Source organism: Homo sapiens, chromosome 2, assembly GCF_000001405.40.
Source record: "Homo sapiens chromosome 2, GRCh38.p14 Primary Assembly".
Taxonomy (NCBI): domain Eukaryota; kingdom Metazoa; phylum Chordata; class Mammalia; order Primates; family Hominidae; genus Homo; species Homo sapiens.
The window spans coordinates 16,640,492-16,668,397 of record NC_000002.12 but is presented as its reverse complement, the minus strand read 5'-3'; the positions used below and the strand labels follow the sequence as shown (position 1 = coordinate 16,668,397).

Sequence of the window (27,906 nt, the reverse complement as noted above, 5' to 3'; positions counted from 1 at the left end):
GCTGGCCACCCCGGACCACTTTTCACCCAGGCCTCCACTTTGTCTCTCTACTTGGAGTGTCTTTGTCCGCATTTCCTGCCTATTGAAGTCTAACTTCCCACGTCATATTTTAGCTTAAAAATGCGCTTTTCAAGAATCTGCTCTCAGTTTCCCCCAATCACAAAGAATTCTTTCTTTTCCTGGGTCCACACAGCAAATATCTCTGTTAGTCTTTTTCCACAGGCAGCCTGCCTGTGTCCTCCTCAAGACCAGGGAACTGTGTCCTTATTCCATTACTTAGCACAGTGCCTGGCACTTTGTCCATGCTTCATCAATCTCTTTTAAAAAAGAAATACATGAAAAAGATGTCCTTGAAACTAGCACAGCTCAGTATACATTTACTTTAATTAAGATATTAAGGTTCATCTTAGCACACATATTGTGAGTGACAACCATCTGAAATTCAGTCTCAACTTACCTGCCTCCTAAATGGCAGTTTAATTTCACTATAATCTTTATGATAATAACCTTTAAACTTGTTATTAGTATTACTGATAAAGTTAAAAGACTTTCATCTGGTAATTTTGTCTTAGGAAACATTCAATTATTAAATTCCACACTGATCATTAGAAAACCCTATTATTTCATAATGGGCTGGGCAATACCATGCAGGTATCCCTCGATTATTGAAACAGAAGCCATCTCTAAGTGTGTGGAAGTGAAATCTCATGCATCAAATAGTCTACTCACAAACTTGAGCTGTATTAGTAGAGACAGATGGGTGTAAAGTGAAAAGTCCTCTCATGGTCTGAAATGATAGTGTTTTATGGGGATGAATGGTGTTTGTGGCTGATTAGTCCTCACTCTTCCCAAAACCTGGCCAAACTCAAGGTGGACAGATTAAGCCAGAAAATTTTAGGGGTGTGTGTATGTGTGTGTGTGTGTGTGTGTGTGTGTGTGTGTGTGTGTAGTAGACATGGTTTACCTCATGGCAAGAAGGCTTTTCTCATAGAGCCACTCACAGATAAAACACCTTTGCCAGACGGCTGCGGTGGTTCACGCTTGTAATCCCAGCACTTTGGGAGGCCAAAGTGGGTGGATCACGAGGTCAAGAGTTCAAGACTAGCCTGACCAAGATGGTGAAACCCCGTCTCTACTAAAAATACAAAAATTAGCCGGATGTGGTGGCAGGCGCCTGTAGTCCCAGCTACTCTGGAGGCTGAGGCAGGAGAATTGCTTGAACCCCGGGGGATGGAGGTTGCAGTGAGCCGAGATCACACCACTCCACTCCAGCCTGAGCTACAGAGTGAGACTCTGTCTCAAAAAACAAAAACAAAAAAAACACCTTTGCAGGAATTGACAACAGAGGCTGGTCTAGGGCATGGGGAAAACTCAAAAAGAGAACGGGAAAGTGTTTCTTCTGGTCCTAAGGACCCCTTCCAAGTGGGAAAATATTTCACTCTAACTAGACAGTGCCTTCCTGCCCTCTGTGAATTTTTGCCAAAAAACAGACCAAGAGCCTCTGTGGGCAGTTCAGGAGAGCCTTTCAGAGTGCAAAGGAAGCTTGGGCAACAAGTCCTCCCAGGGGAAACACCCTGGATCTCAGAAAGGAGAGGGGCCTGAACACCTTCTCCTGATGCTTCCCGCCTCCTCTGATCCCAGCCCACACAGGGCCCCAACCCATGCAGCTTCGGGCACGTACCTTGGCACACTATGGGGATTTAACACATGTTTCATGATGTTCTGGCTGATGGACTGGGAAAGGAAGCACCCGAAGCCGGGGTCCCCAGGAGCTCTCCCTCCCCTCAACAGGAGCTCTGACTCACAACCTGTTTGGCACTGCTGAGTCCTCTCCGGTTTCCTGAATCTCCCTCTCTCTAATGCAAAAAGCCTCCATGGCAGATGTTTTAGAACAATGATCACGTCAATGACGCTGTAACCCACTACTTTCTTTTTGCATCATAGAATTTTTTAAGTGTTTTTGCAGACTTACTCTTTAAGGTTAATTACATGTTTTGGATTGAGCCTTTGGGAAGACTTTACAGTGGTCCTATCGGATAACTGCGGGCCCCAAGGCTGGAGATCTGTTAATAGGGTGGGCAGAAAGGGACTGGGAGCGAGACTGGGTTCAGAATCTCAAGTAATTTGGAGTGTGCCTAGGGATTGGGATGATTTGGCTGGGCATTAATTTGAAGGTGAATATGCGTCTAGAGATTGCGGGGATTTCTTTTTCTTGGAGGGCAACCGTGGGTGTGGAGGAATTTGGTGTGCAGAAACAGAAAGGTCTGGTTCGGGCTTCCTCTGGGAAGGCAAGGCCAAGTGGCCAAGGCTGAGAAGGGGCAGGGGCGACCGTGCTGGGGCGGGTCCGCACCAGCTCCTGGGAGCAGAGAGCAGAGCCGGGCAAAGAGATGGGGTTGTCCAGGCTAGGGTGAGGACGCGGCCGGTGACAGCGCGGGTGGGGATCCCCCGGGGCCGGGGCGGGGCGGCTGCCGCGAGCCGGGCTGGGGGCGGGGCGGGGCGGGGAGGGACGGGGAGGGGCGGGGCGGGGCTCCGAGGCCGTCTCGCAGGCTGCGGCGGCCGCGGGAGAGGCGTACTCGGCGGCGGCGGAGCGGGCGGCAGAGCAGGGCGGCGGCGACTCGGTGAGCGCGGCGCGGCTGGGGGCGCGGCAGGGGCGCGGGCGGGGGTCTGCGGGCGCGGGGCTCGGCCTGCACGGGGCACCGCGGGGCACCGCGAGGCGGGGCGGGCGCCTCCCTGCCATCCTTCTCCTCCCGGACGCCCCTGCAGCCTTTGGGAGGGAGGGAGAGCGGAGGACACCGTCCGGGAGCCCTTCTCTAGCGATCGCCGGACAGAGGTCCGGCTTTGTGCCCCGTTGCCCTCTTTCTGAGAGGGCTGCCTCCTGATTGTGTTCCTTTCCCAGACCACCCTCCCTCGTCCCTCACTCACTTACCCCCCACCCCAGGTATCATAAGCTCCATTCTTGCAGGGGACCCCTAACACTCCCCTTCCCACCACCCGAGGCCCCGGGGTCCTGGGTACTCTCTACAGCCCCAAAGGGAGGGATGGCCCCCTCCCCAGCCCCTGCACACCTGGACCCTTCTGTTGCCACCTGCCACAGACGTTCTTAGCCAGCCAGAAAGCTGCTGTGCCTAGGACCCAGCACACCTTGCCGTCACCCTCTCTCCTCCCCCAGAACCCAGAACCCCAGTTTGGCAAAAGGCACTTTTCCAATACTGAGCTTTGGGAACAATTTGACCCACTTCCCAAAATGCTGGTCCCAGGCCAGCCATGCTTTTTGGTGGAGACACCTGTCTTGTCTGCCAGGAGACATTCTCTGTCAAAATGGGCCAGCCCGTCCCTGGGTCCTCCTCCAAGCTGCTCCTACTCGCTAGCCAGTGTCCCCAGAGACCAGGGCCAAGATCTTTGTCATTTAAGGCCTCCAAAGCTATTTCCCCACGCATCCCCAGAATTCCCCCAGCCACTGTTTTGGGGGTGCCAGGTCCAGAACTGATGGAGCAATCTTTCTGTGTCCAGGGCCTGATGTCCTCTCCCACACCCTTGTTTACCCGCCTGCTCCCCAGGGAACCCAAGACAGGGTCATGGGGCTGGAGTTTAGGGCCCTGATCTCCCCTGAAGCTCTGTGACCCTCCTTTTCTCCCTGTTAGAAACTTTCCTCTCTGTCACCAGTCACTATCTCCTCTGGATGGGACCTGGGCCATCTGCACAGTGTCGAGTCCCCAGGGCACAGAATGCTGATCTGGGACCCTGGAAGGCTGGGACTTGTGCTGGGGCAGCAGGAGGAGAGTGGCTGCTAGCCAGGTCTGGGCTTGGGTACCAGAGTTCTTTGGGTGGATCATTGTCGGCTTTCACTGATCTCTGGTTGGGGTTCGAGGGCTTGCTTTGCAGTGGAGACAGGAGGCAGAGCAGGGGCTGTTTTTCCTGCGTGCTTCTGACTGTCTTGTGTTGCTATGGTGACAGTTTTGCCTGTCTTCCTCCTTCTGACTCTTCTGGGAGCTGGTTTTTATTGGTCCGTTGTCCTGTCTTTCATGGCTCTAATTTCTCCTTTCTACTTGCTCTGAAATAAACAGTCATAAACATGGGCGCTGGGCCCAGGCTGGGGGCTGGCAGAACTTCACCTCCTGCTGGCCCTGGGTTCCTGTGAGGGGAGAGTGGGAAAGCGAGGTGGAAACAGACCTGCCCACATTCCCTCCTGCCTCTGGGCTCTGGCTCTGGGAAGGGGGCAGCAGCAGCATCACGGGCTTGGGCACATAGTGGGCGCATACTGCCTCAGTGCTAAAAATAGATACCAAATGTGGCAAAGGACCTCACTGGTGTTATTTCCTTTCATCTTCACAATAGCCCCATGGGGCAGGGGCTCTTTCCACTTTGCAGATGAGGAAACTAAGCTCAGAGCAAGTGAGTTATTTCCCTAAGGTCACATTGATTTGAGCACACAGTCAGCCCTCAGTTTTGGTTCAATGAATGGAAAAGTGATGAAGCTGACATACACGCATCTCTGTTGGGCTCCCTGGTCCTGTCCGAGGGATCACAGGGACTTCCTTAGTCCAGCTGCCTAAACCCACACTATAGGAGGCTCTTTAGAAGGTGTCTCCACTTTTCCTGTCCCTGCTGGACTACTGTGGAGGGAGCTGCCAGGAAGCTGTCTGGAGTGTCCCAAGTGTACCCTTGACCTGAACTGTTGAGGACCCCAGCTGAGAGCAGAGCAAAGCCACTTGTGACTTCCTGTTTTTACTCAGCACCAAGAAGAATTCAGTTTGCATTTGCTCCCAGGCCTAGATGCAACTAGATAAGTCAGGGACCCAGAGTCAAGTAGACCCTCCCAAGCCAGCCCTGGGCAAGGAGTTCATAGCTCCCCAGGGCCATAGGGGCACCCACTGTCAGCTGTCAGTGACCCTCTCCAGTGAGGCTGTTCCTTCCCTTCCCTGGTGTTTTTTTCTTCAGTACACGCTCTTCTTTTCCATTCCCTGCCAGTCCCTTCACATTGCCATGCTCTAGGTTTGTTAAAAATAAGCTGAGCACGTATTATGGTAGCACAAAAAGACCAGAGAATCAGCAGCCTCAGTGTCAAATGTTGGTCCTGAGAAAGTCAGTTCACTCATATAGCCTCAGTTTCTCCATCTTTAAAATGGGGTTGACAGCATCTATCCTACTGGCCACATTTTCTTGTTCTTTTAGGATGGCATAGAATAGCCTACCGGGAATGCTTTGAACACTTTGAAAGGCTGAAGGACCCATAATGTCCTAGTTCTATTGGGAGATCTCAATCTTAAAGACAGCCCTGGACCACTGTCCAGAGATTGAAAACTAATTTAGGCATAATTAAGCTATAAAATCTCAGGGTTAGAGGCATCCTCCAGGGGCATTTTGCCCAGCCTTGATGTTGAATCCTCTAACTTATTTATGTATCTTACATTTATTGAGTATCTGCTTTGTACCAAATACAGTTTTGGGAACTAGGGGTTCGAAAAATGAGCAGCATTTCTGTTTTCAAAAAAAAATTTAGTCATGGAAAAAGATCCTTATAATACAGTTAGACAGGTGGTATGATAAAAGGAAGGGCAGGCTGATGTAGGGCCCAGAGGTGGCCACTTGACTAGGTCACCCATGAGGGTTGAATCAGGTGATTTGTGCTTTGGGGCTGAAATACATTTGTCCTTCCACTGTCCACTTGAGGAGCAATGGAGTGATGGTTGGAGAGCCACACATCAGCCCTTGTGAGCAGGGTAGGGGAGAGAAGCATGGCAGGGAGCCAGGACTGCCTTTCTTACTGAGTTTTGACTCATCCTCTCGTAGAAGTCTCCGGTTCCAACTTCATCATGGTTAGAATCTTGTCTCAGGAGCTGCATGAATTACCTGACAAGACATCATGGTGATTAGAAAGAAAGTGGTCTTAAGAGTCAGGCATGAGTTCAAACTCCACTACTGCTTTGTCTTAACTGTGGTTGAAGGTGCATCTAACCTCTCTGGGTCTCAATTCTTACATCTGAGAAATTGCAGTAATTATACTTGCCTTCTAAGATTTAAATGATCTTATGTATTTAAAGGGTCTGGCATGGTGCCCACTTCACAGTAGACTTGCTGTTATTTAGTTATATTGATTAGAAAAGCGTTCTCAGTTACTGGACCTCTGGGTCCCCTTAAAACCATGGTACAAAGCTCTTTGGATGAATTCTAGCCTTTGGAGATCCATTCATTATCTGAGAAGGTTAAAAATTGCCCATGCTCAGGCTCCTAGCACTGCTGGTTAATTTTCAAATTATTGCTCACTAGATAAGCTATGTTCTACAATACCACAACAATGCACGAATCACCAACACTCTTTTTTTCAAAGGAGAACAAATTTGAAGTGGCAGCAAACACCCTGAGTTTTAGAAACATATTCTATCTGTGAGAATACTTTAAAATGAATGCCTCGTATTTTTTATTCTGAGCATGTTGAACTTCTTTTTTTTAAGTTACTATAAACATTAATATACATTTTTCTCAATTATCAGTACAATTCTATGACATTAGTATTATTGTCCCCATTTTACAGTTAAGAAAATGGGGAAAGGTAAAGTCCCTTGCCTCGTGTCTAGAAGCTAGGAAGTGGCAGGACCAGAATTTAAAGCTAGGTTCTGCTTGCTCTTTGTGCCGTAGTACACAGCATTGTCGTTTCCTTGGCTGGCGTGTCAGTGACCTAAAATAATTGTGTTTGGAGAATGCAGGCAGATTTTAACAGGGGTGGAACCAGTCAGTGTTGTAACTCAGTCTCTTAGTAAATATTTAGAGAGTTTATTAGGATTTTGCTGTCACCACAGCCTTAAGAATTGCTTCTGCAGTTGGCTGGGATGTTATTTCTATAAGTGATGAATAGAAGAGGAGTTTGACACATCTGAGTTAAAGGAAAATGTTTGATGATGCTAGAAGTAGCTTCCTTTGCACAAGAATGGATTGCTGATTTGTCACTGAAATAAACTGAACCTTTAAGCAGGCCAAGATTTTATGATTGAACTTATGAATGGAAAGCATAACAGTTGCTTTCCAGGGATACAGAGACAGGAGAAACAAGGTCAGAACATATGGATGGATGGCTCTTCAGATACAAAGGTGACTTGGATTCAGTTTATTTATTTTTTCTTTTTTTGAGACAGGGTCTTGCTCTGTCACCCAGGCTACAGTGCAGGGGTGCCATCATGGCTCACTGCAGCCTCAACCTCCTCAGCTCAAGTAATCCTCCCACCCCAGCCTCCTGAGTAGCTGGGACCACAGGTGTGCACCACCAAGATCTTTTCACTTTTTGTAGAGGTGGGGTTTCGCCATGTTGCCCAGGCTGGTCTTGAACTCCTGGGCTCAAGCAGTCCTTCCGCTTTGGCCTCCCAAAGTGCTGGGATTCAGTCTGTCAGTACAGCTATCACCTAGGAAGCTGGAGGTATTGAAAAGCAGTTACAGAATTGCTCATTAGCCTTTCTTGGGTAATTTGGAAGCCTAATTTCCCTGGCCTAAGAATCCCATTTCCCCCACGAATCCAGGTGCTGAGAATGGGTGCCATGTTTCCCAGCAGTGTGTTTACCAGGTCCAGCTTAGCGCTGCAGACAGATGTGTTTCTATTTGCAATTATCTCAGGGCCTGAGTCTGGTGTCTGCTTATTTAATGACTTCACTTTCTAATAAAAATTCTGTATGGCATAGATAATTAGATTTTTTAAATGAAACTGGGGAAATGGAGTGCCCCAAAGGGTTTAATTGCAGTTTTACGATGGATCAAGCATAAAAATGAGATTATTCATTTGACAAATATGTACGGGGTGGGTTCTTGCTCTGTGTTGTGCTAGGATACAGTGATCAATATGACATTACCCCTGCCCTCAAGTAGCTCTCCCTCCATGGGAGAATCAGGGGAGGAAACACATGGCCCAGTGGAGCCTGGCCAGTGTTTTACAAAGTGCAGTGTGCTGAGGGAAGAGGGAAGTATTGTTTTGACTCTTACTTCAATAGAGTCAATTTCCCTCCACATGGGCGCTCTCTGTGGACCACCTGAATTACACCTGATGTTGCATAGAGAGGGAGCACGAAACAGAAACACGCTTGTCCTGGAAGGCTGCCCACCTAAGCTCAGCTGTCAGCTGCAGTCCTTACTTCCTCGTAAGGGAAGAGCAGATCTCTGTGCTTCAGTTTCACTGTTGGTGAAATGGGAAGACTGGATTTGATGACTTGAAAGTGCCTTTCCACATCTAGCCTGATGATTCTAATAAGCTCTTGGACTCATTTCCTCTAGTGACAGGTGAAGAGGCAAAACCTAGCCGTTTTAGTTAGCAGGGTTGCCAAGAGAGAGCTGGGATGCAGAGAACCAAGTGTGTTTTCAAGGAATCCTCTCAAGGAGGCGAGAAGCCCTGTTTTCCTTCCCAGAAAGGGAGCCACTTTCTGGCTGAGCATCCTGATAAAAGGCTGATGACAGTGGGAAGAGACAAGCAGAGACACAGGAGTGGCACAGAGGGACCAGCTTACTCCCATATTCCAGAGCCTTCACCACAGTGAATGCAGAAGAAGGTTGACCTCACAGATGCCTTGGTTACTGCAATGTGCTCTTCTGTTTTAAGTTAATGTTGCTTTTTAAAAATCATTATTTGGTTTGATGATTCCTGAGTTTCAAAATTAAATGCACAATCATTTTTCGATCATGAGGAACAATGAGTGACAAGCTCTTATCCCAACACTCTTCAAGTTCTCTCATTCGCATTGGCAACCAGATGCAGGCCTTTCCAGCCACGGTGATGAGGCTGGCTCCCAGTCACCTCATGTGAGAAGCTTCATGCTGTGGTTGGGGCAAGAGCAAGTGGAGAGTCCAAGAAGACCCGGGGTCTTGTAGTCACGCTGCCCACTTACAAGCAGCCTGGGCTTTGACAAGCTGTCGATCTCCTGAGTCTTGTGTTCCTACTGAGCCATGTAGGGTATTGTCAGCAGGACAATGATAAACATTTTGTACCCACTTTTAGCAATCTTCTGAAGAACGTTTGAAACAGATATTATCCCCATTTTATGGATGGGCGAATGGAAGTCCAGAGGTGTTAAGGAATTTGCAGAATGTCACCTCATTAGAAAAGTGGCATAGCTGGTATCTGAAACCACATCTGTGTGCCTTCAAAGCCTGATCTCTCTGTATCACCCACACTATAAACAAGAGCTGTGCATATGTGAGGAGCATGGAGTTAATTAGCATGTGTCTTGGGTAGAACACTCATCTCAAAGAGCTGGTGAGTTTCTGCTAGCCAGAGGAGCCTCCATACCTTAGAACTGAATGAAATATAGCTTGTGTTTCAAGTGCTTCCCTGTGACTGGTGTGTCTGTGTTTGGCTGACGTCCTTCAGGGTGTCCTTTGCTCAGCCCACCTCCACGGAGGATGCCACACAGAAATAATGAGCTGAGCCTGCACTGAGTGCAGTATATGGCCTTGTTGAGCTGTGGATCGCTCCCAGTTGAGGCAGGTGGTATCCAACTTACTTCTCAGGCCCTTCCTTGGTACAGCTTGCAGTCATGGGAAGGAACACAAGATAACTATGTTCTCAGCTTACAGAGTGACAGGCATGCATGCTGATGAACACCCCTGCTCTTTCTCCTCTATTCCACAGAAACTGGGGGATTAGATAGCTAGGTAGATGGATGGAATGAAGAGAAAAGAAAAGGAAGAGAAAAGGAAGGGTGGAAGGAAAAGAAAAGAAAAAAAGGAAAGGAAAGAAAGGGAAAGACAGGAAAAGAGGAAGAAAGAGAAACTGAGACCAGTGGCTTTTCCAAGGCTGAGACAAGAACTCAGCTACCACAGCTCTCTGAAATCCAGACAAGTGACATCTGCTCCTTGAAGTTCTGGAGCAAGTGTTTGGAAGCAAACAGACCTGGGTTGGATGGAATCTTGGCCCTTTCCTTGGGCAAATTCCTTAAGCTTGCTAAGTTTTCCAGTTTGTGAACTAAAGTTAATAATGTTTGTGTCTCAGGAATATTGTGAGGAATATGTGAATTAAATATACATCCATCTTCCTTCTGGCCTGACCTTTGAATAAAATTTGTTTGTAAAGTTTTTGCTACGTCCTCTAGGTTCCTCTTTATTTGTTTCTCTGGGTGGGAAATGACGTGAAACTTGTCCTTTCTCTGACAACACATTCCTGAATTGTCCCTGAAAAAGCCCCACATAGTCAACCCCTCTAGACTTCTGTTTCTAGCTTTCGAGCTTTCAATTTATGCCTGAAGTGAACCTAGCCACATTATTTCCTAGATTGTAACAAGGATAATGATTCTCATCAGCATCAAGCACTGTACATGCACTATATGATCAATCTCCTTATCCTAAGTCTTTTTCTTATTTTTTAAACATGTATTTTTTTTCTGGAGTCTTGCAGTTTTAAATCCAGGTCCTTGAATACCTTCAGAATTAATAAATGGGGTCATAAGCTATTTTTTGACACATACACATTCGCTTATTTTTAAGTCCAAAATCCAAAAAGCTCTGAAAATGGGAAGTTTATTTCATCATGCATTTGAAAGCAAAAGCTGGCCCAGAGACTCTATAACTTTTATGTATTACACTCAAGATGAATGAGGTTTTCAGCAGAAAGATAAGTGTCCCAGACCCTGCTGGGCATGTATGTAATACATGGCTTATGCACTCTTTACCTTTCTAAAAGACATTTCTGAATTTGGAAGCACATCTGAGCAAAGAGTCTCAAAGAAGGTTTTGTGGATCTTGCAGAAAGCCTAAAAGAACTGACTGTGTCGGCAAAGTCCAGATGACACAAGTGAATATCCTACCTTTGGATATTAGAGGGTATGGTGACATGGCCCATCTCATGCTTATCAAAAGCATTAGTGGCCATTTTTATATTTTCTCAATTAACTGAATTAAATGACCATGCTTGGCACAAAAACAAAACAACAGCCAAAAAAAAAAAAACAACAAAAAACATCAAAAAACATGGGCTCTCAAATTTCACTGGGACAAAGTCATTTTAAAAAAAATTTCCTGAGAAGTAAAAATAAGCTGGGAATTTTTTATTGAGTGTGGCTTATAATTAAGTTTTGGTTTTGGCCTTGGAGGGGGATGGCAGAGGGAATTTTTAAATCTTACTCATCATTTTGCCCATGTGAGGAAGAGCCAGGGCTGAAAGAGTGAGCATGGGGAAGTGAAAAGCCTCAGCCGAGCGTGAGAACATTTTGGTTCTTATTTTGGGTCTGTTCTTTGGTTGTAAAGTGAGCTTGAGCTTGTCACTTCTCTTCCTTGGCCCCTAGGAACTGAGTTTCTAAGTAAATGACTTCTTCCTTTGTCTCTCTGAGAATTAAGACATGGAGGCTAGGACGTCAAAAGAGGAGGAGAGTGGGAAGCACTGAGCTGTCTGTCTGGCTGTACTGGTAACTTCTGCCAGCCCCAGGCTGACCTCTGGAGGGATGTAGAAAGTTTCCCTGTGCTCTCTGCTGGGTTCCCTCTCGGGTCTTCCTTTACTTCTTCCACAGCTCTAGTGTTTCTGTGCCTTTGGCTGGTTGCCTCAGATGTATTTTGGCCCTGGTGACTCGACTGCCATTCACGCCACTGACGCTCACGAGGTCTCACTGGCTGCTTGACCAAGCATGGCCATTGGCAGTGGCCCTAATGGCAACGGCCATTCCAGCAATTGCTCTGCATTTCTCTCCTGTTTTCTCTTTCTTTATGTCTTTGTCTTTTGAGTTTATTATTAATGCATCATAATTCTGACATTTTCCAGATCAAAAGATTAACATTTCTTTCAGAATCTGATGATGTTTAAAAATCAGCAGCTCCTCCTCTCTGAGGACCCACTGTGTCCTTCTGGAGGAGGGTCTCACCCACTCACAACCAGTGATAGCCATGTAGCTTCCACCACGGAGGAGTGACCTTAACTTCCAGGATCCTGAAGGCCTTTGGTTTGCATAGACTATTGGAGCCACTAGGGAGCTGTAAATATGGTTCACATCAGCGCACATGGAGAATAGGGTGCCTCTGGGGATGGCTGGCCCTTAGAAACTAGAGAGGCCTGGACTTGTGAGTGTATAAGTATGATGTGTGTGGTTTGAATGGATGTGTGTGGTTGGAATATATGTGTGTTTATGTGTGGCTTGTGAGTGGGTGTGTGGGTGTGGATATGTGGATGTGTATAGCTGTGTGTGTATAGGTATGTGTGAGTGTGGGTATGTGTGTGTGCAGTTTGTGAGTGGGTGTGTGGGGGTGAATATGTGGATGTGTACAGGTGTATGTGTAAGCGTGTACATGTGCATTGGGGGAATCCTTTTCATTCCAAGGAAGAGCTGCAGAGGGCAGGAATCTGCCAGGCACTCTCTGGACAAGGCTCTGCCCTGGCCTTTGTGTAGCTCACAGGTGGAACTGACTACTCAGATGCCCCTGCAAGCCAAGGGACCTTTTGTCTTTCAAGGACCGGTAACCACCAAGAAAGGCAATTCTGACATTAACTGGCAGAAAGCAACTGAATTACATTTCTTAGGGAGAAATATCCAATTCTGCTGCTTCAGAAACATAGAACCCTGTAAATCTTATGCTACACATTTTTAAAACACCCAAATCATTTGCATATGCGACTTTAGAAATAAAAATAAGTGAAAGAAAAACCCAATTCAGGTTTAAAAAAAAAAGACCAAGAATGCATTCAATTTTATGTAATAGTCAGTTGGGGAAAGTAGGAAAAAGATTATGAAAGAGAAAAGAAAGGGAGGGAGCAGGAGAAGCTGTGCTGCAGCTGTCTGAGCCCCTGCGTGATCAGGCCGTGCTCCAGTTGCCGCACATTTACAACTCCTTCAGGTTCAAGTTCTTTAGGGTCAAGCCCAAGCAGGGCTTAGCAGAGTTGAGACACTGGATGTGAGGGAGAACGAACAGAAGAGAATGTGAAATATTGTTGCAGTTTTGCTTACCAAACTGCGGAGGATCAGGAAGACCATGTGGGCAGTGGAGTGAGCACTGTCCAAGGAGTCCCCTGGGTATAAGCCTAGCTCTGCCACTGACCTTCTGCCTAACTTGTTGTAAGCCTCCTCCCCTCCCTGAGCCTCAGTTCCTCCATTTTTAACAAGTATGTTTGACTAGATGAAGTCTAAAGCCATTCCTGGGTTGGTGAGGCAAGCCCACACACTAGGCCCCACACCCCAAGCCCAGAGGCATTCTCAAGATGGAAGAGGAGATTGTTCAGCTCTGGCCTGCAATTACTGAAGCAAAGAGCCCTCTTCCCCATGGGTCTGAATTGGGGTTTCCTCTTTCATCACTTGGGGCGAGCGAGTGAGCTTGTACGGGTGTGGATGGAGTGCTAAGTGCATATCTCCTGTTTTTTCTCCCTTTAAAACATCTGTGTGTCAAGGCCTCGTCCCTCTTTCTCCCTTTCACACTACATGCTCAACCTGCTAGTAAGGTCATAGGTTGTGTAAATTTATCTGTTAAACCTCAGATTCAGGAAATAGATTGAGTAGCTCATAGAAACTAAAATAGCTACAGTGTGATCACTATTTGTGGTATATGAATGTGAGTTATTTTTTTCTAACCAGTGACTTATAGCTTGCCCAGTCCAGTCATGACCCTTAATTTTTCATAGTATTCCCAAATTTTTAATTATGTTAACAACAGTGAATTATGCTATTCAGTATACATTTAGCACCTATTAATTCTAACTATTTGGATAGTATTTTTGTATACATTTTTTCATCCCACAGACACCTTCTAAGGTGATATTTTCATTTCTTTTTTAAAGATAAAGACAATGAAGCTAAGAAGGTTTTTTTTAAAATTTGCTTTAAGACATAGGACTGAAAAGGGCTGAAAATGGGGCACCAGGATTTGGTTGAAGTCGGCCTGGCTCTAAAACTTCTACACGTTTCCATACCACACAGCTCGCACTGCTTCCAGGCCACAATTTTATTTTTTTTTAAAGAAAATAAAATCCTTTTTCCTGCCATGACTGGAGTCTCTTAAGCCTCAGAAAATATGATCATAGCTTGATTTCTTTGCCTTTTTCCAGAATGGAGTCCCATGGCACGCCCTACCTTAATGTAAATTTCATGCAAATAGTATATGGTATTTCTACTTAACAAACTTTGACCATGTATTCCCAAAGTGCCAGACAGTTTTCTGGATACTTCCAGATGTGTCATTCGATGGAAGAAGAAGTTGTGCTTTTTATTTTATAGAGAGCAAAACCAAGACTCGGAGAGATGCAAACATTTTGGCTTGCTTGGTGAATCAGTGATTCACAGGCTGCAGTTTTATAGAGCGCTTGGGGTTTTGCCTTGCCCTGGAACAGAAACACTCCTTGTTGAACCAGGAGATCAAGCTGACCCACCAGCTCCCACCTCACAGGGCTGGGCTTCCCCAGTATCTGTCTGCTGGTCATAACTCAATCTGCTGGCTGTGGAGAAAGGCAACTTCCTCTTGTCTCTTCCCATGTTGTTTCAGCCTGCCCCACTACTGGCTCAGTTTAGCTCACCCAAAGTCCATTTTCAGTTTCATGGCTCATCATAGACTTGCAAATACTATGCGTTAGCTTCGTATTACAGAAGAGAAAATGGTAATGTGATTTACGCAGGATCACACATGAGCTACATCCTGTTTTCAAAATGCCCTTTCTTTGCCTGGACAGACCCTTTGAGATTCGCTTCTGGTGTAACATTCGCCATAAACCTTCCCCAGGTCCCCGTCAAATTCATCCGTCCATCTGTCCATCTACTTATTCAACAGATACTTATTGAGCACCTACAATGAGTTGTGCACTTCTCTGGGTCTGTTTCTGGGGATTCAGCAGTAAACCAAACACACAAACTCCCTAACCCATGGAGCTTATATTTTGTTGGGGAAAGATGGACCATAAACATATAAACAAGTAAAATGTATATCATGTTAGATGGTGGTAAGTTCCATGAAGGAAAATGAAGCAGAGATGGGTATACAGAAGGATGGGTGGATGACAGCAAGTTTGGGGAAAGAGTTGCTATTTTAAATAGGGTTGTCAGAGAAGGTGAGGATTGAGTGAAGGCCTGAAGGACGTAAAATAATCATTGTGGATAATTGGGGGAAACTGTTCCAGTCTGAGCCTCAGCGAGGGCCAAACCAGAGTGGAGTGTGTCTGGCCAGATGAAGAAACTGCAGGGAGGCCAGGGCCAGAGCTGAGTGGACAAGTGACCGGTTGCAGGCCATGGGGTCATGGAGACATCACAGGCCAGCCTGTGATTTCAAGGCCCTCCTGGCACTCCCTCTGACCCAGGATGTTTTTGCTGTCTGCAGTTCACTGGCCTGTTCTCATGCTGGCCTGTGCACCATGCAGGACAGGCCCAGGCTTGTCTTCAATCTTCACATCCCCAGCACATAGCAAAGGGTCTGGGATAGAAAGAGAGCCCAGCTTTTATGAAGACTTCTGCTCCTATTTATTTTTTTAAGTCCAAGAGTCCTAGTTAAATATTATTTGTGATTTTTTTAAATAAACATTGGAACTTTGAAGAAATGCTGGCTGTAAATCCCCATTAACCAGCTGGACAAGCATCACATGGGCAGGATTGCTAAGGAAAGGATAAGGTGCCAGGAGAAAGCTGGAAGTGAAAGCTGTGGAGAGGAGAGTGTTAATTGGAGTCCAGAGGAAGAGGGCTTCTTCAGAATCCCCGGGGATTAACTGCTCATCCGATCCCTGCTGGGGACTGGTGTTTATAAAAACTGACCGAAGGCTGGAACAGGGAAGCTCTCGAGAAACCCTCAAAGTGTGTCAGGATTTCAGCCAAGACTTTCCACTCTCCACTTTGCTGACGCAGAGGGTGGCAGGGGGTAGCAGGGGGAGTCTGTGGGACCCGGAAGACTTCATCTCTGGAGACCTTTCCAGAAGGAAAAGAACCTCCCCTGGCAGGGCCTTTCCCTTTACAGAGCAAAATGCTCATCTCAGAGGAGCTTGAATTTCTTCAAATGCAGGGAAAAATCCTAGCAAATATAATAGGGTATACGGCAAGGGGAGAGAGGATGGCTAAGAAAAGCATTTGGCCCCAGTGAGGCTCAGGGACCTCTGGAGGCTGCCAGCTCCCACCTCGTATCCTCTGCCCATCTGAATCCTGCTCCTCAGGACAAAAAGTGGCTTATAGCAACTTGTAGCAACTTAGAGCAGGTGGGACAAGTAGCTCATAGGGTTAGAGTGTGAGGGGGGTAGGTAAGAGCTCACTGAAGACGGAAGCTAGAGGACATCCTGAAGCTGTGGGAAGATGTTAGGGAATTTTCACAAAGGAATGATAGAAATGGATTTCCAACCAGAAGTATGTGTGGGTGTCAAAGGATGGACCCCATAGTTACAAAGTTGTGGAGTGTTCATTAACGAGAGCTGGGGAGGGAAGATTGCTTTCAGCTGCTGGATCAGGTAGTAGGTTTGCTTAAAAATATTAAAAAGGGAAAAAGCAAAGACTTGCCTTTTCCTTATTCAAAAACTGTTTTTTGAGAACTGACTGTGCTTAGGTGCTGGGGTTGTTCTGACAGATAAACCCCTTCCTCATGGAACCCATTCCAAGCAGCCTCCTTGAAGAACCTTATCTGAAGGTACTTGACATAAGATGACTGGAATTTCCTGCATTCAACTGCATATTACAAGTTTTTAAAATGGGGAAATTAAAAAAAAAATTCACGGCACCTGATATTAAAATAATAAAAAGTTAATTCTTGGTCTGCCAATGACCTGCTCAAAGTGAGTGGACAGCCTCCCTGGGTCTTCATCTCCTCATCCTCCAGTGGAGCTAATCTTCCTTCCTGCCTCCTTTTCAGGAATATTTTGAAGACAACAAGCTTTGAAAACAAGTTGAAAGCTCTGTATAAATTGCAGGGCGTGACTCACATGCCTGTGCGGGACCCATGTTCACAAGGTGCTACCTGGTGAGAGGTTTTGGATGAAGGATAGAGTCTGTTCACAGATCAATTTTTATCAACTTTACTTCTCCAGGTTTGTCTGCAACTGTTTAGGGATTTTTTCCAGCTGTCAGAAATACTTTTCCTGATTTTATATTAGTATTTGGCTTCTGCACTGCAGTGCGGTGCTTTACAAACATGCACACGTATATGTTTACCTAATTTTTCTAGGATGATAATTTAATGTAGTTGATATGACAGTATAAGAAGGCAAAGGCCAGGATTGTTGCTCCAGGTACGAGGAGGCTTGAAAACAGCATCTGTGGGTATACAGGAGTGGGAGGTGTTAGAAGTCAGCCTAGCTTGGGTCAGGGTAGGAAACCAAAGGTGTGAATTGTCATGAAAAGCCACATGCAAGGTGCCAACCCTCCCAGACCCCCCAGAAATAGCTGTTGAAAATTGGGCTTTCTGGTAAAAAGATCAGCTGCTGCAGAACGCCTTCCATACATGTCAGCAAGTGGGGCCGGATAGCATAGAGCGAGCCTGAAATGCGTCTAAATAAATGATTATGGTGACTCACTCGCCCCCGTTGAATGGAATGTTTTTTTAAAGTGAAAGTAAGAGAGAAAGAAGATAATAAAGCAAAGAAAAAGAACAATAAGGTTTGAATTTAAAACAACAGGAGCAAAAAATTGAATTAGTCACTCATGTCAAAGCCTGTGAGCCTCTGTCCTGAATTGCTACCTTCCTCCTTGACTTGCCTTAAGGTCACGGTCTTTCTGTTTGAATTTCCTGGTGAAATAACACACCCTCTGATTGTTGCCATTCCCGGTGCCGGTTGCAGGCATGTAATGGGCATTCTGAGATACTTGTCACAGAGCCACTACAGAGCTTGTCTGTTGAGCTCAGAAGGCCTTTCCATGGCCAGAGAGGAGCATCCAGTCTCTCTGAGATGTTTAGGGTTGCTTTGTGGAGCCTCTGAGTGTGAGAGCTGGGGCTGCCAGCCCATGAAGCTTAACGGAGAAGGTTCTGCATTTGTTCTATTGTAGGCCTCTTGGTCTGTTGTTGCATCATCCCTGATATCAGGAACTGGCCCAGAGACCAATGAAACCTTTATGATTTGCTAGTGTTTTAATCGATCTGCAGTTTGCAGAGATTTTTATATTGAAGTGAGTCAGTCTTGTTTTATACTATATACTCATTCAGCTGAGTATATAGCTTTGCTCCTCTTTTTGGTTGATTTCTGGGCCATTGCTTAACCACTCTTACGTCTTAGGGATGTCATCCATAAAATTGACATAATTTCGTCTCAGCAGACCCCAACATAATACCTGTGAATATAAAATTATTTAATCTGGAAAAATGTGGAGTATGTCACTTTTGCTGCAGTCAGAAATAACCCCCAAATCTCAGTGGCTGATGGCGACGACTGTCTTGCTGTGCCACGTGTCAGGGGCTGCAGGTTGGCTTCTGTGGCACTGGTGTACATTTCTTCTCATTCTGGAACCTGGGCTGAGGGGGTGTGTGCTTCTTGGAATGTGTCATGCTCATGACAGAAGCGATCGAGCAAGGTGGCAGAAACTTGAGACTCTTGTTGAAACTTCTACTGGGATGTGGCTTTCTTTATTCTATTTTCACTCCATTTGGTAAACAAGGCAAATGTCCAAGTCCTATACCAATTGTAACCTCCTCCCAGGGAGGGGAAGTGGTACATCCAAGTCATCTGGCAACCAGCAGGATGGTACTGTACAACCGTGCTCTGTACTGTATAACTGTCCCCTGTACTGTATAACCATGCCCTGTACTGTACAACCGTGCCCTGTGCTGTATAGCCATCCCCTGTACTGTACAACTGTGTCCTGTACTGTACAACTGTGTCCTGTACTGTAACTGTTCCCTGTGCTGTACAATCATGCCCTGTACTGTACAACTGTCTCCTGTACTGTACAACCATGCCCTGTACTGTACAACCATCCACTGTACTGTATAAACATGCCCTGTATTACACAACTAACTGTCCTCTGTACTGTACAGCCATGCCCTGTGTACTGTACAGCCATGCCCTGTACTGTACAACTGTCCCCCATACTGTATAACCATGCCCTGTACTGTACAACTGTCCCCCATACTGTATAACCATGCCCTGTACTATACAACCATCCCCTGTACTGTACAACTGTCCCCTGTAGTGTACAACCGTCCCCTGTACTGTGCAACCATCCCCTGTGCTGTACATCCTTCCTCTGTACTGTAATCGTCCCTGGGAGAGAGACCATCCCTCTCCCAAGATATCAAAATCTGCAGAAGATCAAGTCCCTTATATAAAATGACATAGTATTTGCATATAACCTATGTATCTCCTCCTATATACTTTCAATAATCTCTAGATTACAATACCTAATACAATGTAAATGCTAAGTGAATAGTTGTTATACTATGTTGTTTTTTAAATTTTCATTATGCTTTATTGTTGTTATTTTTTTATTTTTTTTTCTGAGTATTTTCCAACCTGGTCGGTTGAATTCCAAGGATGTGGAACTGTGAATATGAAAGGCTGACTATAAAATCTTTTACAATTGAGGAAATAATGCAGTGTAACAAGTACATTGTAAGCTTATTAAACACGGTGTGAACATTATGTTCTTAGTAAAATAATATTTGACTGGATACTAAGAATGGAGCTTATGTCTGGTATCAATATTTATTGGGAAATATCACACTAGAATGTAGTGGTCTATGATGGAGGAAATTTTGTGTCACCCACCCCTACATTTTAAAAGCAAGGCCTAGACCCTCTTCTTGATATATAGTAGATATTCAGTACATACTAGTTGTTCTGAGTAAATTCATGAGATCACAGCTGCTCCAATAATCTGGGAACCCAAGACAGTAAAATATAAGCCAAGTCTCTGAAGTCTATTTAAGATTAGAAAACAGCAAAGCCAAATTTTCAGCTGCATGCTAGAGAGATAAACAGGTTTATCAATTTATTTCTTAAATTCAAGTGTAATCACATCCACAAAGCCTTTTGCTGAAATTCCCCTTTTGATGAAACTCGTGTCATCACATCAAATAACTCTAGTGGCACAGACTTAACTCAAGGTCCCCAGCATTGTTGATGGGCAGTGGCCTTGACAGGGACAGTATTGACATAGTGCTTTTGACCATTGTTGTGTCTTTCTTTGGGGCTGTCCCAAATGCTTACTATTCATTACATTCTTTTTTTTTTTTTTTGCTGTTGTCATTGTTGTTCCTACCCTGTCTTCCTGGGAGCAATGGTAGCCTCTTAAATTTACAAACAACCGAACCAAGGCAACAAGATGTGAGGGCAGGGCCAGGCTATGCAGTGGGTGTGGCAGAGACTCCACCCCCCTGGCTGAGTTTCTCTGAGATAGATAAAACCACCTGGGACACTTCTCCACTCACTAGCTGTGTGACTTTAGGCAAATTACTTAACCTTTCTGTGTCTCATTAGTCAGATTAATGGAATGAAGATAGTAATAGTAGCATTTTCTCTTAGGGGTGCTGTGAGGATTTAATGAGGTGATACATGTAAAGTGTTTACAGCCCGGGAGGTCAGGGGGATGAGATGAGCATCCTGGTTGGACAGGGCCGTGGGCCTCAAACTACTGTAGTGGTGGCTCCAACAGGAGCCTCTCAGAGTATTGCTCATTGGAAGCACAAAGGCCATTCACAGGGACACTGTCATTCACCTTGATATGAGTGGGTCAGGGAAGGCAGTCTGATTAGCAGACACCTGGAAGAAGTGTTTGAACTGCGGGGTTGTGGGGGCTGTGTGAGCCATGCCAGAATCTGAAGGAAAAATGTGGACTGTACAAGGCAGAGGAGAAAGAAAGTGGGGAGAGCCCAAGATGAGAGTGTGCTTTGCTAATTCAAAGAAAAGCAAGAGGTCAGTATGTATGGCTAGGAGTAAATGAAGACAGCAGTGATATGGTTCAGAGGGAGACTGGACCTGCAGGGCCTTGTAGTATGGGTTTTGATCAAGGAGAAAGGAAACTGGCACTTGCTGAGGACACATCGTGTGCTAAGCTCTGGGCTGGGTCTAATCTTTTTAATAATTCTGCAAGAGCAGCTGGTACAGATGAGAAAGAGGAGCTTACATTCTTGCGTATAATCAATCAGGTGGCTCACACATGGCAAAACCAGAATTTAGACAAGGTCTTTTGGATTTCAGAGCATACTCCAGACCTGCTTCAAATTTAGACATTTGTTAATTATCTAGTATTTGAATATACTTGTTTATTTCTTTGCTTCAAGTCAACTGAGATGATACAGGAAAGCTAAATTTCAACTCGCTAATTTGCATGAACACAATTAATGACTGTAAAAAATCTTTTTGGAAGGAAGATTGTACCAGATATGGTTTCATTGCTTGAGCAAATTAACACATCCCCTGTTACCTGGTATGCATTAATCTGGGTTCTTCAGATAAATAGAACCAATAGGAGATAGATACGGATACGGATATGGCTACAGATAGAAAGAGATTTATTTAAGTAATTAACCAACATGGTTATAGGGGCTCAGATGTCCCAAGATCTGCATCTGGCAAGCTGGAGACCCAGGAGAGCTGATCATATAGTTCCAGCCTAAGTCAGAAGGGCTGAGAACCAGGAGAGCTGATGGTATAAGTCTGGTTCAAGTCTGAATCCAAATGCAGGAGAGGACTCATCTTCTAGCTTAAAGACACAGAAGCAAAGAGAGAAAATCCCCCCCCTTTAATTCACCTTTTGTTCTATTCAGGCCTTCAAGGGATCTGTTGAGGCCCATCCATATTAAAGAGTGCCACCCACTTTACTCTTTCTACTGATTTAAATGTTAATTTCTTCCACAGATACCGTCACAGCAACAAACAGAATAATGTTTAACCAAATATCTGGGTACCCCATGCTCCAGTCAAGTTGATACATAAAATTAACCATCACAAATACCATTTTTTATGAATGTAAGTACAATTAAAGAAAATGTCAAGTCGCAACAAGGAGGCTCCCACACTGCACGTGGCTTCTCTGGTCTTGCAGGGAGGCCTGAGCTTGCCTGCCCCAGAGCCCCATTTTTCCTTGCACTGATCAGCTTCTCTAGATTCCTGAGACTTCTTTTGCCTATACAAGTTCTCTCCATTTTCAAAAGCTCTGCCTCATAGGACAACTAAACAGGCAGCATTCTTTAAGATAATCTTGATAAGGGATTTTCAAAATGTGCTATGTCATGGCTGCATGGAAAATGGTCATATTTGTACAGCACACAGAAGAAATGGATGAAGCTGCTTGTAGCCACAGGGTAGTGGCCTGGTGGGGGAGGATGAACTCTAGACATCTTGATTCTACCAACTGTCTCCTTAGACCACAAGTGTACCTTTGCTACATGGTTGGAAAAATCTGATTGAAATCAAGCCATCCATCTTATAGGTGGGAATACTGAGGCCCAGAGAGGGAAAGACTAGAGCTAGAGCCACCTCCTTTTCTCCTGGGACCTGCCTGTGCAGTTCTGGTCATACTGCATTGCCTGTCTGATCCTTTTCTGCCTCCTCATTTCTGAATTATTCATTGGGCATTTGTCACAAACTGTCAGGGACAGCTGACTTGTGTGGGTGTGTGCGTGTATAAGCACATATGATCTTTTCCCAATTAGATAATAAATCATCTGGGGACAGGGTCTTTTTCGTGTTCTCTTTCTTTTCTTATACCCTCCAAATTACCAGGCATATCAGGTCATACTTTTCTATGTATTAAAGTATAAATGAATAATCATCCATCATTAGCCTTTAAAATAAACTGTAGCATCCTCCTACTTCAAATGTCTTTTCTTCCAGAAAGTATTTGCTGATACCTAGCTGTCAATGATCTCTGGTTTGTCTCACCTTCCAAAGCATTTTCTTTGTGACATCGTAGAGCTTTTACTGCTTTCCACCTTATATTAGAGTCATAGGTAGAAATATCCCATCTCCTTTTCCAATGACGTGATCACCTTGAAGGTAGAATACATGTGGCTCGTGTAATACAGTGGTGTTTACTTCACAGGCATTCAATTCTAACTCCGCATTTTAAAATGTCTATTACATATCAGATACTGCACTAGCCGTGTCATTGCAGGAGCTCATTTAAACTCCACAGCGGCTATATAAGGTGCATATCCGCTTCGTTTTTATTATATAAGGAAGCTGATGCTCAAAGAGGGGAGGTACCTAGTTCCAGACTGAGTTGAAGCCAAACTTCTGGTTCCAAATGCCATACCTTTGTTTTAGCCCAGGATCGTTGCCTGCTTATCTTAGCAAATGTTTGTGGAATAAATATGCAAGCCAAGAATAGGTGAGTTAATTCATTTGAAGGCTAGCAAATGCTGAACATAAGTCATTTGTGGCTTTTGGAAATTGTTGTGAAAATACCTTTATACTGTAAAAAATGAAAAGAACGTTGATTCTCATGGATCACTTCTGCTCGCCTATGGATTGTCCCTGAAACATCTGCAAGTTCAATTGAAATATGACTTTCAGATGAAAGAATGCTATCACTGTCCCAAGGCTTTCTTTCCTGATTTGTACCAACATCAAAGTAGAAGTTTATACTTTTTCATTTTAATGGTAATCGGTTTCCTTAATAAGTCTTGTCTTTAAGAGGTAAATTCAATCAGCTGCCGTCTGCTATGAGACTGAGTGGTTGTGGCTCCGTGTGTGGGGGGTTGGTGGGGCAGGGCTGTCTTTATTTTTCTGCTCTATTTTCTTCTTATTTCCCTTAGCAATAATTGACCCCCTTGCATGTTAAAGACTCCCGCAAAGGTAGAAGAAGGAAGGCATGCGCAGTGATGCTGGAATCATCTTCCATGTGGTTATCTAAGTGTGGCCTCCAAGGAAGTTACTTCTAGAGCCCAGTTAATTTCTGACTTAATCAGAGCCCGGAAGCCCCAATCATGCTTCTGAATTTGGTAATGACAAGTGTCTTTGCAAACATCTAGGAAGAAAACAAGCTTAGAGGAAGCTTTGACAGACAACAGTAGTTAAGCCCCAGCAACAGTGTGACAGATGCCAGCTGGACAGTGTGATAGGCTCCTGCTCATGGGTGGACATGGCAAGGACTGTCCAGAGGAGAAATGGTCACCTGAGGCTGGAACACAACAAGGGCAGTCTTCCAGTATGACTAGGCACTGAAGTTTTCATGACTCAGCCCATCCACCAAAGGGACTGATCTTAAGAGTTTCAGTCTTAACCTCCCTGTGTGGTGGGACAGACACAGCAACTAATTGGGATGTGTGATTCACTCACATCGGCTCTCTACCTGGGGTCAAACCAGGCATTCAATTCTAACTTTGCATTTTAAAATGTCTGTTACATATCCAATACTGCACTAGCTGTGTCATTGCAGGAGCTCGTTTAAACTCCACAGCAGCTATATAAGGTGCATATCAGCTTCGTTTTATTATATAAGGAAACCGATGCTCAAAGAGGGGAGGTACCTAGTTCCAGACTGAGTTGAAGCTGAACCTCTGGCTTGGCAGCAGGGTAGAGAGCCCTGAGATGTTGGCACAGAGAGTTGAGGAGTGGCCTTTATTATGCCGAGGCCTGCAGGTAGATGAGCTTGATCTTCAGTCATCAGATACTTACGGAATGTCTGCAGGCACTGTGCTTGGCACTGGGGCTAATGATGGTTAATGCATTTTCTGCCCATAGGTGAAGCCTAGTGGAATGCTGTTTCTCAAAATATATTCTTTGATCATGGAACTTGTCCTAGCAGGAGATGCTCAGAAGGCATTCATTCATCTCTTCATTCATTGTACAAAGGCTCTAAAACACTATGTCTGGGTGGGCTCTAGGAACATAACAGTGGGCAACACTGATGTGAGCCTGGCCCTGGAAGCCTGCAGAGTGTCTGATTGTGGGCGAATACAGATAGAACTGGGGATATGATCTTTGTAATCATTTTAAAGGTGTGAATATATGTGTAATGCAAACAAAATTGAAGAGGGAACGTGTACACAATTATTAACCAACTTTAGTGTGTTTCATTTACATCGTGACTGTGTGTCTTAAAAGTTTATGTAAAAAGCATTGCTGCATATTGAAGTCTCTCAAAACTGTCCATGGCAGGTCTGGGCTCAGCAGTGCTTCTCTAGTGGCATCCTTTAATTTAGGCAGGCTTGTGCAACACTGTCCCATCTTGAAGTATTGAAGAAGACTGTATCTCCAGGCCCTGGCTCCTCAAGCTCCCCCTGCCTACAGGAGCCTTTCAGCTGCCTTTCTCTGTGGCTCAATGCCATTCATTGTTTAAGCTACGGTTCAAGGATGAACGACTAAAGTGATTCATTCCTGTATTTGACAGATATTTATTGAATGCCTACTTCATGCCAGGCATAGCTCTAGGCAGTAAGGATAAGACATATCAGTTAAGGAAAAAATGTAGATACTAAATAATAACTTTAATAATGTTAAAGTAACAATAATAATATTTTATTATGGTAATAACATTAAGAAAAAAGTACTAAAGTAATGTATTTATCTTATTTAGGTAATAATTATATTATTATATATAGTATACTATTATAAATAATAATAATAACTTTAAGGTAAGGTAATAAAGGAATATTTATTGCCTTCTAGTATATTAGAAGGTCAAAAGGTCAATGGGAAAAATGGAGCCGAACCAAGGAGATTATGGCTGTTGCAGGGAAGGCCATTGCAGTTGAAAAGGGCGGTCAGGATGGTTCTCATTGAGAAAATGACATTTGAGCAAAAACTATTAAAAGGTGAAGGAGTGAGCACACATATATCTGGGAGAAATGTATTCTAGGCAAAGAGAAAGGGCAGTGGAACTGACAGATTTGAGGACAAGCTAGGAGGCCAATGTGATGGACCTGATAGAACAAAGGAAGAAGAGTAGCTGTGGATGAGGTCGGCAAGGTCCTGGGGGTCCACCCTGAGTCTGATGAAGGGTGCTGCTGGAGAGCGTGTTCTAGCGGAGGGTCCCAGTGGGACTCACATTTTAGTGGCATCACTCTGGCCACTCTATGGCAAGAAAACAACAGGGTGTCAGGGGTGGAACTGGGGGACCCTGGCGGCAGCGTGTTCTTGATGGACTAGTATGGAAGGTATGCAGGGACGCTGGATATATTTTCAAGGTAAAGGCAAAAGAATTTTCTGAAAGATTGAATTTGGGGCGTGAAATAAAGAGGAGGCTCAGATGACTCACTGTTTTTGTCCTAGCAACTAGAAGGATGGAATTGTCATTAGCTGACATGAGAAATAATGTGGGTAGAGCAGGATTGGGAGGAAAGAGGAAGAGTTCTGTTTTGGGCCACGCTGAGTTTGAGTTAGGCATTGGAGTGTAGCTTCTGAGTAGACTGCTGGTTATTGCTGGCAAGGGAGAGGTCAAAGCTGGAAATATAAATATGGTATTTATCAAAATAGAGATGATATTTGAAGGTGTGAAACTAAGGCAAGATCACCAAAGGAGTGAGTCCTGATAAAGTAGAGAGGCTGAAGGGCCAAGTCCTGGGAAGTGCCAATATTAAGAATTTAGAAAAAGAGAAAGAGGCAACCAAAGAGACTGAAAAGGAGCACACATTGACTAGAAGGAAAATTAAGAGACCCTGACCTCCTAGAGATCAAGTAAATAAAGTCTTTCTAAAAGGGATGATAACTCAATTGTGTCAATTATTGCTAATGGGTTTAATAAAGATGAAGAGAGAGTTGACCATTGGCTTCAGCATCGTGGAGATCACCATGTCCTCTGCTCTCACCCCCAGCCCACCCAGCCTGCCTCCTTTGCATGCCATCATGGCATGATCTGCTTATGTTGCTGCATCTCCTGCAAAACATTTTTCTGTCTGCCATCCTGCAGGCACGCTCACTTGTGTGCTTATGCAACATTGGTGAGCACCTCCCATGTGCTAGATGGAATGAGTATGCAAAGTTAAACTTGGTATTTTTCTACCCTCAGATGTCTTACAGCCTAAGGAGAAAAGCAAGGTGTCTAGAATCTGTTACAGCAAAAGAAAGGGATTGAGGGATAGTAAAATTATGAGAGTTCAGAGGACAAAGAAATTTTCTCTGGGAGTCAAGGTTGAGTCCATGGCTGAAGTGGCCTTTAAATTCGGCCTTGAATGCTGGATAGGATTTAGAATTAAACAAATGGAGGAGAAAGAAGAATATTTTAGAAAAAGGGGCATATAGGAGTAAGGGCATGCAGGTGGGAAGGCTGGAAAGGGGACCCTGGGCTGAAGGCGTGGCATACGGAGGAGAAGGAAGAGCGGAGAATGAGGCTAGGATTTGGGCCAGGGACTCAATGAAGAGGGCCTTAGAAAATAGAAGCTGGGCTTTATTTCTTAGTCAGTGGAGGAATCATTAAAGGTTTTTGAGCCATAGAGTGATGCAATAATAGCCGTGCTGCTTTGGGAAGAGTCATCTGGCTGTGTGTGCAGAACTGTCCAGGAGAAAGATAATAAGGGCCTAAATTAGGGCAACAGAAGTGGGAGCAGAGGAGGGGGCGGATGTGAGGCACTGTAGGATCAGAGTTCACGGGCTCAGCACTCCAGAGGGATAGGCACATGGTGTGGATCTGGGTCCCTGGGCCCTCCCTGAGAAACTCGTCAGCCTTTTGAGGTCAGTGGCCTCGGCTGTCCCTTGTGCTTGTCATCCCCACCCCCACCCCATCCTCTTCCAAGCCCATGTGTGCTCAAGCTTCACCTCGTTAATGAAATGAAGCTGCTTATTTTTGGAACTCTGTGATTAACATAGTTTCTGTGTTTAGGAAACAAAAGAACCCTGTGCATTTCAGGACTCTCTACCTGCACTGTGTCCACCTAAAAAGGTGAGAGCTGACGCATCCAGGTCATCTCTGGCCTCCAATCTCTGATCTTCTGTTGCACCTGATCTGATCCAGTGCCTGCAGCATCACCAGTAATTTTGAGCAAAAGCAGCTCTGGAGGCCCAGAGAGGGCGATACACAGTGCCACCCAACCAGCAGCACCAGAGGAAAGGCCAAGCAACCAGATGGGGCTCTCCACTCTGCCTCCATAAATCTAGGCAGGCTGCCTGCCCATTTTCCCTAGAAAACCAGC

At 45.0% G+C, this 27,906-nt stretch overlaps 1 protein-coding gene across 9 annotated transcripts in view, besides 4 other annotated features; it reads left to right on the top strand.

The window, feature by feature from the left end:
• Positions 2,358-2,527: a silencer, noted in NCBI's record as "silent region_11187". NCBI's record gives its function as "represses an Ori minimal core promoter by ATAC-STARR-seq in GM12878 lymphoblastoid cells {active_cell/tissue: GM12878}" and the evidence as "EXISTENCE:reporter gene assay evidence [ECO:0000049][PMID:35858748]".
• The window catches only part of CYRIA (CYFIP related Rac1 interactor A), a 116,376-nt gene continuing 91,033 nt past the window's right edge, over positions 2,564-27,906 (top strand). For 8 of the 9 annotated variants that reach the window (XM_024453163.2, XM_047445942.1, NM_030797.4 and 5 more), the window contains exon 1: positions 2,564-2,618. The gene's annotated coding sequence lies outside the window, so the exon portion shown is untranslated. Of the gene's footprint in view, positions 2,619-20,071; positions 27,657-27,906 lie in introns of those variants that run through there. The other variant, XM_047445945.1, reaches the window with a different exon arrangement.
• Positions 2,598-2,647: a silencer, noted in NCBI's record as "silent region_11186". NCBI's record gives its function as "represses an Ori minimal core promoter by ATAC-STARR-seq in GM12878 lymphoblastoid cells {active_cell/tissue: GM12878}" and the evidence as "EXISTENCE:reporter gene assay evidence [ECO:0000049][PMID:35858748]".
• Positions 18,293-18,442: an enhancer, noted in NCBI's record as "active region_15350". NCBI's record gives its function as "activates an Ori minimal core promoter by ATAC-STARR-seq in GM12878 lymphoblastoid cells {active_cell/tissue: GM12878}" and the evidence as "EXISTENCE:reporter gene assay evidence [ECO:0000049][PMID:35858748]".
• Positions 18,483-18,532: an enhancer, noted in NCBI's record as "active region_15349". NCBI's record gives its function as "activates an Ori minimal core promoter by ATAC-STARR-seq in GM12878 lymphoblastoid cells {active_cell/tissue: GM12878}" and the evidence as "EXISTENCE:reporter gene assay evidence [ECO:0000049][PMID:35858748]".